Source organism: Homo sapiens, chromosome 4 (assembly GCF_000001405.40).
Source record: "Homo sapiens chromosome 4, GRCh38.p14 Primary Assembly".
NCBI classification, from domain to species: domain Eukaryota; kingdom Metazoa; phylum Chordata; class Mammalia; order Primates; family Hominidae; genus Homo; species Homo sapiens.
In genome coordinates, this window is record NC_000004.12 from 181853103 (window position 1) to 181869286 (window position 16184).

The following is a 16184-nucleotide window of genomic DNA, read 5'->3' on the forward strand; positions in this document are numbered from 1 at the left end:
AGTTTTATCTACTTACTTTTTAGTGTTTAGAAAAACTGAAGTTTGTGTACTCAATGTCAAGCAATTTTATTGATTATTTGATCTCTAACTGTGGCTCTCCTGGACATGAGTTAGATGCATGATCTCCTCAAGGGAATTTATCTCCACGAACTGGATACATAGAGTTTTAAAAACAAATATCTGATATTCTATTTTCTGATTCAAACCAAAGTATTTTGCTTTATTGTAACTTTAGTTAAACTTTTACGTTGCCAAACTAGAATTATTCATGAAATTCTCAAAACTATATTGGGTTACATGTATTTAAACCATGTTCCGTGAAAATATAAATGATCCTATAACATTTGCAACCTAATCGTAATTCATTTTATAACGGCAATCTCAAAACACGTTTGTTAATTGTGTTAATTATATCACTCTCGTTGACTTTCTCAGCTCACTTTCCCTTTTGGTGAAGAGATACTTATGACATTTAGTGTTTAATGTCATTAGCTTTTTTTCTGAATAAGGGTGGGAATATTGTTCAGCAATTTTGAAATCTAACAGGAATAAATGCAGGATGTGGAGGCATCTGTTGACTATACACATGCTGAAGAATCACAGTTGTTAAGAAATAACAGCAATCTAAAAGGGAAAGGAAATATACTGGGGGAAAAAACGGTCCCGGAGGGTTAAGAGGAGGTGCTTTGGCAGATTGCTCTGCCCAGCATGCTGTAGTAGCCCTTTCCAAAGCATATTGGCAAACTATGCTGAACGATCTTGATAAGGGAGATTTAATTAAAATGCTGTAAGCGTAAGATCTCTGCCTTCGTGCTATAGAAGATTTTGTTGAAAGAATCTTATTACAAACCTAGCAGGATTTTTTAAATGTTTTATTCACTTGTAGCCATCCCACTGATTACAGTTGGAAGTATAACACAACCAGTTGGTTCTTAATAAGGGCTTTTAAAAATCACAGCATGTTCTTCAGTCCCTTAGTACAGGATGAATGTGACATCAGGGACACAAATATCATTACCTTGATAAATTACTGATGGCATAATGATTATGGAAATCGTCATCCACTGATCATCAGTCACAATTTATTTCAAATCAATGTCTACAATTTGTAGCCTGGATGGAAGTTTTATCAAAACCCCCTCTGGTATAGTACAGCTCTTGGTAGCTAACTTCCTCCTAAGAGCATTACAGCCTTGTCATACTTCATCTGCTGTTCATGAATGGAACCACTCAATGATTCCATGGCCTCAAGCAATCCGAATTAGTCAGAAGAACACTGGGCTACCACACACTCATAGGCAAGCTCGTTCAGAAAAGCAGTTAATTTAAGAACCAGCAAATGTGCCAAACTACGGTATCTTTCCCTAGACACAGAGTTTCCCATTTTTTTCCCCTTTCCAACTGGCAATAAATGGTAATGTTTGACTTTACTACACTGTTAAATTGCAAATAAATTGTTGCCGAATCATGCCATAATAGACGTTTATGTCTTTAAAGCAATCTCTGTACCAGGAAACATAATCTGCATGCCTTTGTCTGAGACTTGGTAGTGTTCCATTACTCTTTTCCAACACATTTAACATTTCAAGTAATTTTAGGTCAGTAGGGCCCAAGAAGTCAATCCCTGTGGTATTCTTATGTAATATTTTTCTACTTTTTAAATTGGTCATCATTTATGAAGGATCACAAAATGATCAATGTCAGTGCTAGCTAGTGATGAACTTATGTGAAGAATACTCTGTCCCCAAAAGGCCGCCTTCTCAGATTAATAATAGAGACTACAGAGTACGCGTTAGCTAGCATAAGGGTTTGATTGGAATATTGGCAAGAATGGATTTTTTTTTAAGGCCGTGTTTTCTACTTTTGCTTCTTTACAGGAAAACTGAAATAATTGGTTGGGTATATACTGTGGTTGAGATAGACAAGCGAATATGGAGAAATATAACAGAAAATAAACATACAAGAACTGAGTTCTGTTCTGTTTTGTGAAATAACGTTGATGCAATATTATTTTTAGAGGGAAGAAGATGATATTCACATAAATGGGCCAGTGGAAGTAGGTTGAAGTAAAATTTAACATTTAACTTGTTATTGTGTTATTAGACACTGTAAGCTTTCTTTGTGTTTTGGATAAAGTTTGGTAGTAGTAACATTACTCCTTAATTTTATAGTTCTACTTTCAAAATACCACATGAAATTAGACACTTGACAGATGTTTTCTAATGAAGATAAGGTAAGATTACTAGCTCAAGTTTAAGATTGGCATGTACTTCTCTAAACTTATATAACAATTCTCAAAAGCCCAACATGAAATGAGGAAAATTGAGGCAATATTAATGATTCATCACTTATTAAGTGTCAGTTATGATTCAAGCATCCTGCTTACCATCCCAAGTACGTTATTTTTGGTAACTCTCAGAAGAACCCTACAGGGGTTTGTTTGGCTCCCAATTTCAAATAAGGAAAGTGAATCATAATTGCCTAAGATATTGAAAAAGTGTAGTGGGCAGATCTATTTGAACTTAAGGTTATTATTCTTCATGCTATGCTAAATTCCTTGGAACATGAATGATATTTAAGATGTAGAAACTAGTTAAGTCTTGCTTTTCAAATCTTTATGTGACTAGTATTTATGGAGTGTTTGTCATATTAATAGTTGTATATCAAGTGCTATGAAGAAAGAAAGAAAACAGAAAATGAGAATAAAGGAAGGAGAGAAAGGGAGAGGATGGAAGGAAAGAAGAGAGGGAGGGAGGGAGGATAGGAGGAAGCAAGGAGAGAAGGAGGTAGGAAGGAAGAAGGGAGGAAGAAAGGAAGGAAAAGAGGGAGGGAAGGAAGAAGAAAGAAGGAAGGAACAAAAGGAGGAAGGAAAAGAGGGAGGAAAGAAGGAGGGAAGGAAGGAAGGAAGGAAAGGGAAAGAAGGAAGGAAAGGAAGAAGGAAGGAAGGAAAGGGAAAGAAGGAAGGAAAGGAAGAAGGAAGGAAGGAAGGAAAGGGAAAGAAGGAAGGAAAGGAAGAAGGAAGGAAAGAAGGAAGAAGGAAGGAAGGAAGGAAAGGGAAGGAAAGGGAAGGAAAGGGAAGGAAGGGAGGGAGGGGCACATGGTCCCAGACCTTGAGGAATTTACAGTTACCCCTACCTCAATGTTCTCCTTCCTCTTAACTTCCCAAGGAAATCTGGGACCTTGGACAAATCTTTTCTGAGCACCAGCAACATGCCAAGACCTATAAATCTAAAGCAGTCCTCGGTATTCCCCCCGGCTTCATCTGCAAAGCCTCCTCTGCCTTCTAAGTGCATGAGCTCTATCAATGACACCCCCTTCTTCCCAGTCAACCCATTTGAGATTTTATTATTGCCTGCACCTACTCTCTCCAATATCTCATGAATGAGTAAATCTTGCTGATTTATCTTCTGTAGTGTACCCTACATAGATGTTTCCCTTTTTGCCCATTCCATCAATGCCCGTGCCTTATGCACTGGCAATAGTGCCGAATTGTTTCTAACAAAGTTATAAGTGATTTGGTGTGATTGTCCCTCCAGCTGATACTTCTGGGATGACTTCTTGGTGTGGCGTGAGGTTCTGTGGTCCCAGTCCTGTGTGATTCCCTGGGCAGGCTGCTCCTCCTGGACTGACAGGCATACTGGCTCTCTCTGTTGTATTTATCTTGAATCCCTAGCTTCTGCTCTGTACACACCAGAGGAGGTCGGCACTCAGCATAAGGATGGTGAAGTGAAGTCTGGGCCACGGCAGCACCTGGACAGAGTAGGAGGCAGCACCACAGTGGTTATAGCGACAGGCAGACTTGGGTTTCAGGGCTTATTCTGTCACTTACTTGCTGTGTACTTTAGGCAAGTTTATTCATTTGACAGATAGTTATTGACCACATGCTCTGTGCCAAAGCAATTTCTGGGGCAAACCATGGTGATCAAAACAGAAAAGATACTAAGCTCCATGGTGTTTACTTCTAATGGAAGAAGATAGGCAAGTAAATTACTTAATAACTGAGATTATTTCAGATACCAGTAGGGAATATTTTTTCATATTGGGTGATGTGATGGAGGGGAAGGTGAGGGCATGAGAGGCACTGAATTTAGATTTGGTGATTAAGAAAGACCTCATTGAAGAGAAATGTTTGAGAATGAACAGAAGAAACCAGCCAGGAAAAGATCAAGGGCAGAGGTTTTGGTTGGGTGAACAGTAAATACAAAGACAGACGTCAGAGGGAAGGCCAGGGTGGCTGGAGGGGGCAGGTGAGGGGAGGGGTGGACCAGGGGAGGGGTGGATGAGATCTGAGCAAAGGGCCTTGTCAGTCATGAAAAGAGACTGGATTTTTGGCCAGGTGCAGTGGCTCATGCCTGTAATCCCAGCATTTTGGGAGCCTGAGGCGGGAGAATCACTTGAAGTCAGGAGTTTGAGACAAGCCTAGCCAACATAGTGAAACCCTGTCTCTACAAAAAAAAAAAAAAAAAAAAAAAACAAAACAAAACAAAAAAAAAAAAAACAAACACATTAGCCAGGCATAGTGGTGTGCACCTGTAGTCCCAGCTACTGGGGAGGGTGAGGTGGGAAAACCCCTTGAGCCTGGGAGGCAGAGGTTGCAGTGAGCTGAGATCACACCACTGCACTCCAGCCTGGTGACAGAGAGAGATCCTGTTCCCCCAAACAAAAAAAAAAGAGAGAGAGAGACTGGATTTTTATGCAGGTGTAATGGGGAAGCCATTGGCAGTGTTGAAGCAGAGGAGTGGCATGGCCTGACATTCATTAAAGAAACATGGCTCTGTCTGCTGTGAGGAGAAAGGACAGAGAGAGACATGTGGAGCAGTGAGTCCTGCTAGGCAGTTGTAACCAGAGTCCCCTTCCCAAGCCAGGCCATCACACTTACAGCCAAAACTGGACCCAGCGATCCTGAACATATGCTGCATTCAGCTACTTCTAAATATCTAGAGTATTTTTAAGTGTTTAAATAACTATTCACATGTATTAAAATCATTTAATTTTGGCATGTGTATATTATGTTGAGACAGGGTCCCACTCCGTCACCCAGGCTGGAGCGCAGTGGTGCAATCACGGCTTACTGCAGCAGCTCAACAGATCTTCCCACCTCAGCCTCCTGAATTTTGGCATATGTGTTGATATGCAATAAATGAAGTTTAGATTTATAGGTTTTGCAAATTCAGCCCAAATACTTTGCAAGATTTATTTGCTTCATTCCTTGCCTTGCTCTTACTTTTAAGGATGTTATTGGAAAATTTGTGGGGGGCAGAAATTAGGGGTTTTGGTAATGAACCAGCTATTTCTAAAGGACACTAGTGAGGCACATCAGATGCTGGGCTAATGCTTTGTGTGTTAGAGTAGCCATCGTTATATCAACCAATAGCTATTTATCCAGTGCCGGACAATACAAGATACTGGGCTAAAAATGGTAGGAGACACAGAGAAGCATGTGATACGTTCCTGCTCTCATGGAGCTTGAAATCTCATGCAGAGCCAGGATGCGTTTGCAGAACAGGTAATCCTACCTGACAGCTTGTGCTAAGATCCAGACCAGCGCTGAAGGATATGCCAGGGGATGGAGGAGGGGAGCACCCCAGACAGTGAACAGCTTGAGGAGATGACAGCAAAAGAAGAAAGGTACAGCTTTTTCAAAGGTGATTGACTAGACGGGCCAGAGAATTCACATGGGCTGCTACATTGTAAGGGAATAGTGGGAAATGAGGCAAGAAAAGAAAATTGAAACCAGTTGTACAGGGGGCTTAATGCCTGGCCAAGGAATGTGAGCTTTGTACTGTTGGTATTGGGCAGCTCTTGAAGGGTTTGGGGCAAGGGAGTGACATGATGAAAAGGTATTTGGGAAGATTAATCCAACAGCTGTGTGCCAGACAGGCAGGAGAGGAGGCAGGAAGCAGCTGCTGTAGGTGATCTTCAGTTGAGGGGCGTGTTGGTCTTGTTGGTTCTGGGTTTTCAAAGTAAAATAATTTTACATATATGTCAAAATTCCCTCATTTTTGGCCACGCGCCTGTAGTCCCAGCTACTAAAGGAGACTGAGGCAGGAGAATCACTTGAACCCAGGGGGCAGAGGTTGCAGTGAGCCGAGATCGTGCCACTGCGCTCCACCCTGTGTGACAGAGTGAGACTCGGTCTCAAAAAAAAAAAAAAAAAAAAAAAATCCCTCATTTTTCCTTATGCCATATGAACTATCTGACGATATGATAGCTTTTATCAAGAAGTGTCCTTTCTTTATATAGCATTTAAAAATAGTCCCTTTCTAGAAAAATTATTCACCCTTTTCTCCATTATTTTCTTGAGTAATAGTGGCAAGCTAATAAAAAACTGACAAGGAAACAGCAAAAAAGTAGGAAATTATGAAAACAAGTGAGTGTTTTGCTAAGGAAATGTTTATTACTGTGGTTCTCATCATTATGAGTTAATTACAGGCTCTCAGCAAATATCCCATTGTGAACTCAGAGGTGCAATATGTTTTATTTGAGAAAGTGAAATAGTGATTTCCTTTCCAGTATTCAGTTGCATTTCCCGCTATTTTAAGACTACTCAGTGGTACCAATGTACTTTGACAACCAATTATCCCAGCATGTCTTTGCAGTGTATTTTAACTATAATGCTTTTTAAAAGCTTGAATTGCAAAAACAGAGTTTTATCTTAATTGATCATATGCGTTTCTAGAATTGTCTAAATACTACTTGTGTGATATCTGAATAACTTAACTAATTTACATGAGCAGAAAAAAAAAACACCTGTTGGAGTAAGACACACAAAACTTCCTTCAAAGCTATTATTTGTCATTTTTTTCCTCAGACTTTCTTTAATGTCTTGACTCTTAAGAAAGAATGACATGTAGTCCCTGAGTTCTGGCCAAAATAAAGAATAAGATGTCCCTTAGACCATCCCTGGGAACTCATAATCTGATTTCCTAAAGCCAGTTGCCATCTGATTATTACCATTACAGGCAATGCAAACCTTAGACTTTGCCCATATCATCTTATTCTGCCTGGTTCCATCTGAAACCTGCTTTCAAGAATGGCATGGTACACACTCTATAAGCAAAAGGTGACTTTACAGAGTAGGAATTCTCCCGGTTAATGTCGCCTTAAGCGCCTGTTAACTACAATGCATTGTTTAAAAGCTGACATCTGTGATTATTTCAGGCACAGGGCCATTGCTTAATTTACTTTGGTTTGATTTTTTTTTTCTCTCCGCCCTCCCAGTTGGCTTCTCCAGAAGAGTAAAGCCAGACAGTAGTTACTGCTTTGGAAAGAAATGATAAGCCGAGCACTTTGGAATGCATTTTTCTAACGCTCCTTCGCCAAGTGTTACATGACTGTATCAAATTTCTTTAGACTTTGATAATGAGAAACAGACAATGCCATAGACAATACAACCAAGAGATTTGTGGTAATAGAGGATTTCAGAAATACACATGGTTCTAAATGGCTCTGAGATTATGTGCTTAAAGTTCTCCATCTTTTATTTTTTTCATGTTTGAGTAGACCCTACGGTTGATTATCAGGTTGACGAAGGGCAGAGGCCCTGTCTGCTGATTATAAATGTGCAATGTGTGTAAAATTTTCACACATAATATAATATTTCAAAGTTATTTTTATGGGGGCTCCGGGGTCCCAGAACTTAAACAAAGCTGCTAATCATTGGCTCCAAGAAATACTTAGAAGGAATCATAGTTTTTTTAACATCATATGGAGTCATTTGCAGACTTTTGGGCTGCAGATCACATTATGTTTATTTATTCAGCTGGCTTTGGAGATTTGAGCAATATTTGGAGGCACACAAGTCTTTGCCTTGCTTAATAAAAAGTATACTCAAAGGTATCGCTCCAGCATTTTTATACACAAAAGATTCTCACAAACAGGGGTTGATATCGAAAAAAATGTAATTTTGAAATTAAAAAGAAAGAAACTAAACAATCCTGGGGAAAAACATCATCCAGCGGTATCTTTCTTAAGAAATCTTCAGCAGGCCTTGTGTCCCTTGTGCTATAAAGCTTGAAAATACGTTATTATCTTTTACAAGAACACTGTAAACTGTAACTTGCATTATTCTTTGTGATCATCTACAACACACAAGACCTGGCTCACCTTTTAAGAATAGTCATTTAACACAGGATGTGTAATTTTGTTGGCATTATTAGTAGAGCTTTATGTCACGAAGTCAATTCAGTCTTTTCCATGAAAGAAGGTGGAATAAATATTTCATAGCTATGGCTTTTGAGGAACATTCCGCCTTTCGATCTTGAGGCAGTCTTTCAACATGTATGCCAATCAGAAGTCTTTAACAGATGTAAAATACATCTTGTTTACTTGTCTTTGAAAAATATAAGGATCTCAAGATGCACCTGAAATATTCATTATGTGGACAATACTTCAAGCAGGGCTAGAACTTGCTGAGTGTTTCAACCACTGCCTATTTGTTCAAGTTTTTTCTCTTTTTCTGGTTTTCCTTTTTCTTTCTTTTTTCTTTCTATCTTCCAACATCCCTAATACTTCTAAGTCCATGACTTGTCAAAATGGCTATAATATACCCAGATAAGTAAATTTATTGATAGCATTTAACATCTCAAACATTGTCTTTGATTTGGTTAGCTCCGTGATGGTTTAATGGAAGAATATATTTTGTACCATGAAAATATTTCTTTTACTTCTATTTTTCCTCTTTTTCTTTTGACCAACGTACCCCAGTTATTTTAAGTAATCACTTTATTGTGAAATTATCCTTTGTGTGAGTTTCTCTGTTAACATACAATTAGTATAGGATAATTTCACTGTCAGCAAGATAACTCATTTGTGGAATTTTGCCACAGTGATTTCTGTATTCTTTGCTTTGAGTCTCTATGAGAAATATCCCCACAGATTGAACCCATGACCTCCTCTTCTGATCTATGCTCACCTGTTCAATATTGATTTGTATTTGGCTTGGGTGGAAACTGTTAAATTTTGTGTTAACGTTTAAGACGTGTTTTGTAGATACTGTCATTATTTGATAAGGTGTTACAAAGTGATATCTCTTCAAAGCATTTCTTAAAGACAAAATAGATATTTAATTAAGCTTAAAAAGGAGCAGGATAATGTCTTTTAATTATGCAAACTTAACACACACAAGCGCACACACACACACTTTTCTACAAATATGAAACTAGGGAGAACTGCATGTAAAAGAGCTTAGGGTCACGAAAGGCCATAAACTAAAACCATTTTCCCATATGCTACTATATTTCTCATAAAATGCAATAGAACATTTAGAATTCCTGTAAATCATTTTATTTTATCTGGTAACACACTAAAATATATTTTCAATTTCCCTTTCCATCTCTTTTTATCAATACCACCGTTTTCTTTTTTCTCACCCCAATCTAAGCTTTTAAGCTTCATTAACAAAAGTGCCTCCCTGCAGAAAAAAAATATATCTCAAGCTTTGTCACAGAGCCAACTGCTATGAGAAGCAAGACAAAAAGGGAGCAAAACAAAACATATTTTCAGGTCTTACGATGTGCCAGGCACTGTAGCAAATTTCTTTTCCATGTGTTTTCTCAATAAAAAATGGAATAAAAACGATGTGTTTTTCTAAATTGCTACTTCATTATATTATATATGACATTGTATTATATTTCTTCTATTATCGTTCCTCAATTATTTTGATGACTAGACTATTATGTCCAGTTTAGAGCAATAGAGCACTGTTCCCAGGGAATAAAACATATGAAACATGAAAGGTAACTCTAGTGGATTTAGTTTTTTATAAAATAGTCTATCCCATAAGAAGTAAAGAATATCCTGGTTCTCACTGAAGTTATTGATGGACAAAAATACAGGTACAAACAAGAGAAATTTAGCTCAGACATCAGAAAGAATGCTCACGTGAATCATGTCTTTCACAAATACGCATGAAAAATGTTAATACTTTTGGGGTGTTTTTATGAGAAACTAGGTAGGTATATTTGTGGGCTGATTTATATACATTCTTAACTTTTATAAGTGCTACCTTAACCCTAATTTAATACTTTGAGAATTTGAAAGAATAGAGCTCAGAATAAAATTAACAGTTCAGTGAATATATTAATTTCACCAAGGCAAAGATGAATTAGATGGCTTCTAGGACAGTGTTTGTTCCTTTGTCTTTTTAACCCAACATTCATACTTCTTCAAAGAACTGTAAGCAATGCATTTTTAACAAAATCACAATGACTCTGCTACTCTCATGAAGATTGATTTATTAATACTGACTACTAAATAAAAATGTCAAAGACAGTAAATATCATGCATAAAAAGCATGAAGAAACGCTCCATTGGTTTGAGGACAAATAGGAAATGTAATGTACATTCTGGGTAGAAAATGCATTTCTAGTAATGTTAGGTAAAAACAAATTATAGGCAAAAAGTTAATGGTTCTCATGATACCTGAATAAGAAGGCAAAATTGAAAGAAATTTGGGCTCTCTGCAATATACAAACAAGTGAGTTACCTGCCCTTTACACTCGTCCTTGGGTACCCAGTTCCCTTAAGCCTTTCTCCTGGGTCCAGAGATCTAAGGGTAGTAGGCCACAGGCAAGAATCATTATTGCAGGTCCCCTACTTATGAAACTTTTTGTGTGCTAACTTCCATCTCTTTATGGAAGTTAGCCTCTTGATTGTGGCTCACTTACAGATATACATACCCCAGACTATTTCCATTTTCCAAGCGAAAAAGACCCCATAGTAACAAAATACTTTGGGATAAACAAAATAACAATCAACATATTATAATATAGTACCAACACAGCACAGCCCATGATGAGCAAATATAAAATCTAATAATAATGTCACAAATATGTTAATTCATGTCAGTTTGCAACCAAAACAGCCGTAATAACCACATATGCCTTCCTAGATTTCAAGAACTCTAACAAGTTTCATGTGAACATGAATCACAGGACCACTGCAAGGCTCTCGGGCATGAGGTTGTAATCAAACGTCTTAGTGGAATCCTGGCTTAGAGTTCTCAGTTAATTCTGGTAACACACTAGTATTAGTTGATGAATAGCATCTTCCACCAACTCAGCAAATACTAGTGAGTATCCATTAGCCTCTGTGAAACTGCACATTATTCAACTATAAGAGGCAAAGAACTATCAGTTCTGTCCATCAGGCTGAACTTTGAATTTCTGCAGGAGTATAAGGGTCATATACTTTGCATTTGAGGGATTTCAGCATCAATGCACTGATAATGACCTGATTGAGTCAGAAGCTGTTCCCAGATGGAGATTTCATTTTCACCCCGTCTACTTGGGTGCCAATGGCTACAGACTTGAATAACCCAGGAGACAAAAAGAGAGAGAGAGAGAGAAAGCAAAAAAGAAAAAGAAAGAGAGTTGTGTCTCAGTAAGCCAGCAACGGTCTATCATCTGAATAATGATCTACCTTACTATACAAAACATCTTATAATCAGAATCCAGTTAGACCACGAACTGGGAAACCGGTGTGGGTAACAACTAGAGCTGACAGCAAAGTAGTCAGTGGTCAAATGAGCTGAGATATGGATCAGAGCCAAATAAAATAGGGGAGATATGATAGGATGACAACAAGCTGATGGGTTAAACCGCCCGTATAGGTATGAACTGAGATCTTAGAGCCCTAATATTCCAGATGGGGAATCTCGATGCCCAGCAATTCCTTAACTAGAGCTTTGTGTGTTACATTGTTCTCACCCATTTAAGTCAGTGTTTTACAGAGGGCACCCTCCTTTTCCCAAGACTCTGAATTATCAAAGCCAAATTAGCAAACCGCGTCTTTCATTACTTGTTCTCCACTTGCTCTACAGTGAGCTGATTCTATGGCTCAGATAAAGGCTTGGTGACACCTGCTTGTCTGAACATATCAATCCACCCTTACAAAGTAATACAAAGTGTGTTCTAATGTGAAATAACTATTGCTTATCCTGTTCTAATTTCCAGTTACACTATTCAAATACTACTGGAGTTGACTTACAAGCATCTTTCACCATTCTTTGGAGCTTACAGATAGAAAAAGTGTTTAATAAACTTCACCTGAGTAACAAGGCAAGCTGTGCTGGCTGTCGATTGCCAATACGCTGTTTGGATATTAGCTTAGAGCACGGGATTTAGATCTTACTAGCTGTTGTGAACAGTTGTCATTCTATTAATATATCTTTAAAGGAAGGCTCATTCCTGGAGATTTTACATTTTATTTCCAGAAAAGCCAAGAACAAATGTGAATATGACTGATAGCTAATTTTTTCTCTCCTTTCTTCTTTTTCTTGTTGCCGATGATGATGGCCCTTCAGGGGACAAAGGGACAGAAGACACAAAATGCATTCTTTGGAGTTGGGTTTAGACACCTTCAGTTTTCTGCTAAAAAGTTCTAGTCTGGTTGACCCCGAATCCTCTTAGTGTTTGATCATGGACACGCTGACAGTACCGTCACCCGCATGCCTACACAGAGGATGGCAAAGAGGAGGGGCTGAAGGCCCACTAAAGCACTTTCGTCGTTGACAACATTGGCAGTGACCTTAATCAGTGACTCTCTAAGCTTTTTAGCACTGACAGAAATAACCGTTTTTTTCCACTCTGTCTATTTTCATCATAGACACTTTTTCCTCTGATCTTCAGATATGATACAGGTCCATAGGTTTGTAGCGCTTTAGAAATCCGGTCAGTGTACTCTTCTTCCGTTTGCATTATGATTCTTATCAAAATCCCCCAAATATATATTTAAGGAGACTTGACTGGAAAAAATCTCAGAATATAGAAAAATATCTATCTATGAACAGAGAAATTGGTCAGTTTAAGTCCATTTTAAATAATCAGTTTAGTTACCACTCTTTATAAACCTGTACAGAATACGAATGGCTCTAAATTGTATACTATATTCATTTTCTTTAAATCCATAGGTCTTAGTTATTTTTCTAAATATTTGCAAGGGGTATGAAATTCCTGAAAGCTGAAAATGGTTTTTGCAAGGGAAAAGTTAACAGTAAATGATTATTTTAATTCGTTTGATATTTGGAAACCATAATCTTGATTGCATGGCTAAACTCAATAGCACCCTTAAGTAATTATTCTCCATAAATTAACGTGCTATTTCTATCTTCTGTAATTTTCAAGAAATCAAGGCTGTTAACTCTAAGCTATAGCTAAAATCACAGTGAATCTAGAAGTTTCTAACATCCTCCTGGTTAACTGTGTGGTGATCAGTTGTGGCTAATTCCTCATGAGGATGGACTAAACAACCAAACCAACTGCTCCTCCACGCGGTTACTTAGTTTATGTAGATACTGCCTTGCTTTGTTTCTTCGGCATATAATTGCAAGTAATAAAAATCCTGTAATTGTAAAAGAATGAGAAGTCACTGCAATTATATATTTACAATTTATAGCTTTTGAAATGATTATTTTTGTCATTTATTCTAATCTGTGAACCCTAGCCAGGCTAAGTCCTGAATCACTGCGTGATGTTCAAGAGAGGCTGCTTTTCAGAAAAGAGAACAACGGCCCTGGTGTGTGTAGAATAACCGAATATCAGGCCAGCTCCATTGCCCCACATTTTTTACTGTCATTTTTTCATCTATCCAAGTCAACAAACAAGACAAATAACCACTTTTCCGTATTAACCCTGCCTGAATTTTAAAGCATTCTGCGTTTGAACACAGCCTCCTCCATAAAACTTTCGTCACTTGTCTTTCCTAAGGCCACAGTCTTCAGAGACTCCTTCCTCTTCTCTGATTGCTTCCTCCCTCCTAGATGGGAGTCTGTCCATATATCCCCTCCCTTTATATTCTATACTGTCCCTCGGCGATCTCATCTAACCTCATTGCCTTAATGATCACTTTTCTGAAACTTGAAGTTTTGTTTTGTTTCGTTTTAAATCTCTGAGCCTTGGACCACACTGATTCCCCTGCTACAGATCCCCCAATAAACCTCTGCTTCTCATCATGCATTATTATAATCCTCTGCTTCTCATCAGTTTGTCTCCATCAGCTGGGAATTCCATGAGGCCTGGACTCGTAGCTTTCTAATTTCACCGTGGAATTTCTAGCACAGTGCCCGAATTGTTACGAGTGACTTAATCGCTACTCTCACAGTTTCACCTCAGTTCCAATCCCTCTGAAAAATTTCTTCAATCAAACTGAAATACATCAAATTTCCCCTCCTATTTCCATTATATTCAAACTCTGCAGCTTGGTCATTTTGTCCCCCGGACTTGGGCTGCCCCCATCCAATCTTCCTGCCCCAGGCCCTGCCTTGAAGACCATACTCATCCTCAGTCTCCATTTAGGCCCCACCTCCTCCAAAAAGTATCACCCCTCCCGTTGGAAGTCACCTCTTCTGCCTCCTGACTCCCAGAACATTTGATTATACCTCTTTTATGATACTCACCAGTTTGGTATATTTATTACACTTCTTTGTTTGCTTAATTTCCTTGAAGAAAAAGTTTTACAATAGACAGCTACAGATCTCCTGTACCACCTGGTACATGCAAAGATAGCAATTGCTTGTTACATGACTGAGCAAACGAGTTATCATTTTATAGTTATGTAGAAAAATACATCAGGAAATAGGTAACATGTACTGTTATGATAAAATTAATGTTGTATAGGATAGCAATTTTTCTATTTGTTCTGTTTTTCCAGGCTTGTACCATAACCAATACCCCTGCTTGGCAACTCTAATGAGCAAACTGCCGCAAAATTGAGAGAGAACACACCTTTTTGGTAAGTAGCATATGCATTTCTAAATCTGATGGTAAGCACAAAGCTAATGTTTATGCCTCCATTTTGTTTAAAGTCCTATTTAATAAAAATTGTAGATGTTCTGGTATATTTTCTTGGAGGGAGAGGGAATTGAGGAAAAGTTTTCAAGAAAACTGTTATTTCTTCCAGACATCTGTATAAAACCTTTCAGTTTTGACACAATGTTGAGGTAATTCCCTATATTTCTGGAAATAATTTATATTTTACGGGAAATTTTTTGGAAGCATAATATGCATTCAGCAAATGTGAGAACCATAAGTGCACAGCTTGATGGGTTTTTACAAAGGGAGCACATCCTTTCACCAGGACCCACCCCATTAACAAACAGCGTATTCTCCACACGCCAACAGGTATCTCCAGCCCCCAGCCCCTTCTAGTCACACCCCTCCCACCTCCCTTCCCTCACCCCAGCATGGCTAACCAGGATCATGACTTCTAACACTGCAAATTTATTTCCCCGCTTTTAAATTTTATATAAACAGAGGAACTATCTTTTTGAAGGCCTTAAAAAAGACGAAATTGAGAAAATGAACAAGAAGGCCAAGTGATTTTCTATTTATGTAACAGCTGTTTTGCCAGATGATTTGACAACTAATTGGCATTATCTCACCTTTACTCTCAACCCCAGCAAACATCACCTGTTTTAATCGAGGGTCGCTACTGCTTAAGCCTCTACTTGTGTTCTTCTCATATTTGTGCTTAATAAATTACAACTTGCCCAAGATCAGCAAAGGTATTCATCACGTCAAATGTTTACAGCAACTGCCTTTTATAATTAAAGCAAAAGATTGTCTTTTAGCATTGACTGATTAAATTGGTAATTAATATGGGATGAAGATTTTGCATGGTTTCTCAAAGCAACCAAGAAGAGAGAGGTAGATCAGCAAACGGCTTAATAACATGTTTCTTAAAGACTTTATTGTATTTAGCATAATAAATGACAAAATAGGGTCGCATTTCTTTATTTCAAGAAAGATAACTGCATTTCCAGTTATTTATTCCAGAGAAGGCCTTTCCAACAGCCTCTTGATTCCTGCTAATTTTTAGGCCTCTTTCTAAGAAATAGCAATTAAATCCTAACACTTCGAATGCTCCACTTAATATTAGGATTTCTACCCATCCTAAATTTCCAAAAAAAAAAACTGTTGCTGACCAATTTTCTTATACTATTATTAAATGTTAGGGTTCTAATCCTACATTATTAATTTCCATTTTAGGGTATCTGTTTCCTTTCATAAAAAATAATTTCTCATCTAAACCATTTCTTTACATTTAGTGTCATTATTAATCTGCAAATCACAGTGTGATATTTTATCTCATCTTATCTATTATATGTTAATTATCTGTTACCCAGAAGAACTTCTTGACTTTGCTCTTAAATTTTAGGAAACACTTCAGTTTAGAGGGATTTGCAG

General features: G+C 37.9%; 1 protein-coding gene across 7 annotated transcripts in view; it reads left to right on the forward strand.

Moving 5' to 3' along the window:
* The window catches only part of TENM3 (teneurin transmembrane protein 3), a 1355412-nt gene that overhangs the window by 405490 nt on the left and 933738 nt on the right, over positions 1-16184 (forward strand). For all 7 annotated transcript variants that reach the window (XM_017008385.2, XM_017008389.2, XM_017008390.2 and 4 more), the window contains exon 3: positions 14650-14730. The gene's annotated coding sequence lies outside the window, so the exon portion shown is untranslated. The remainder of the gene's footprint in view (positions 1-14649; positions 14731-16184) is intronic.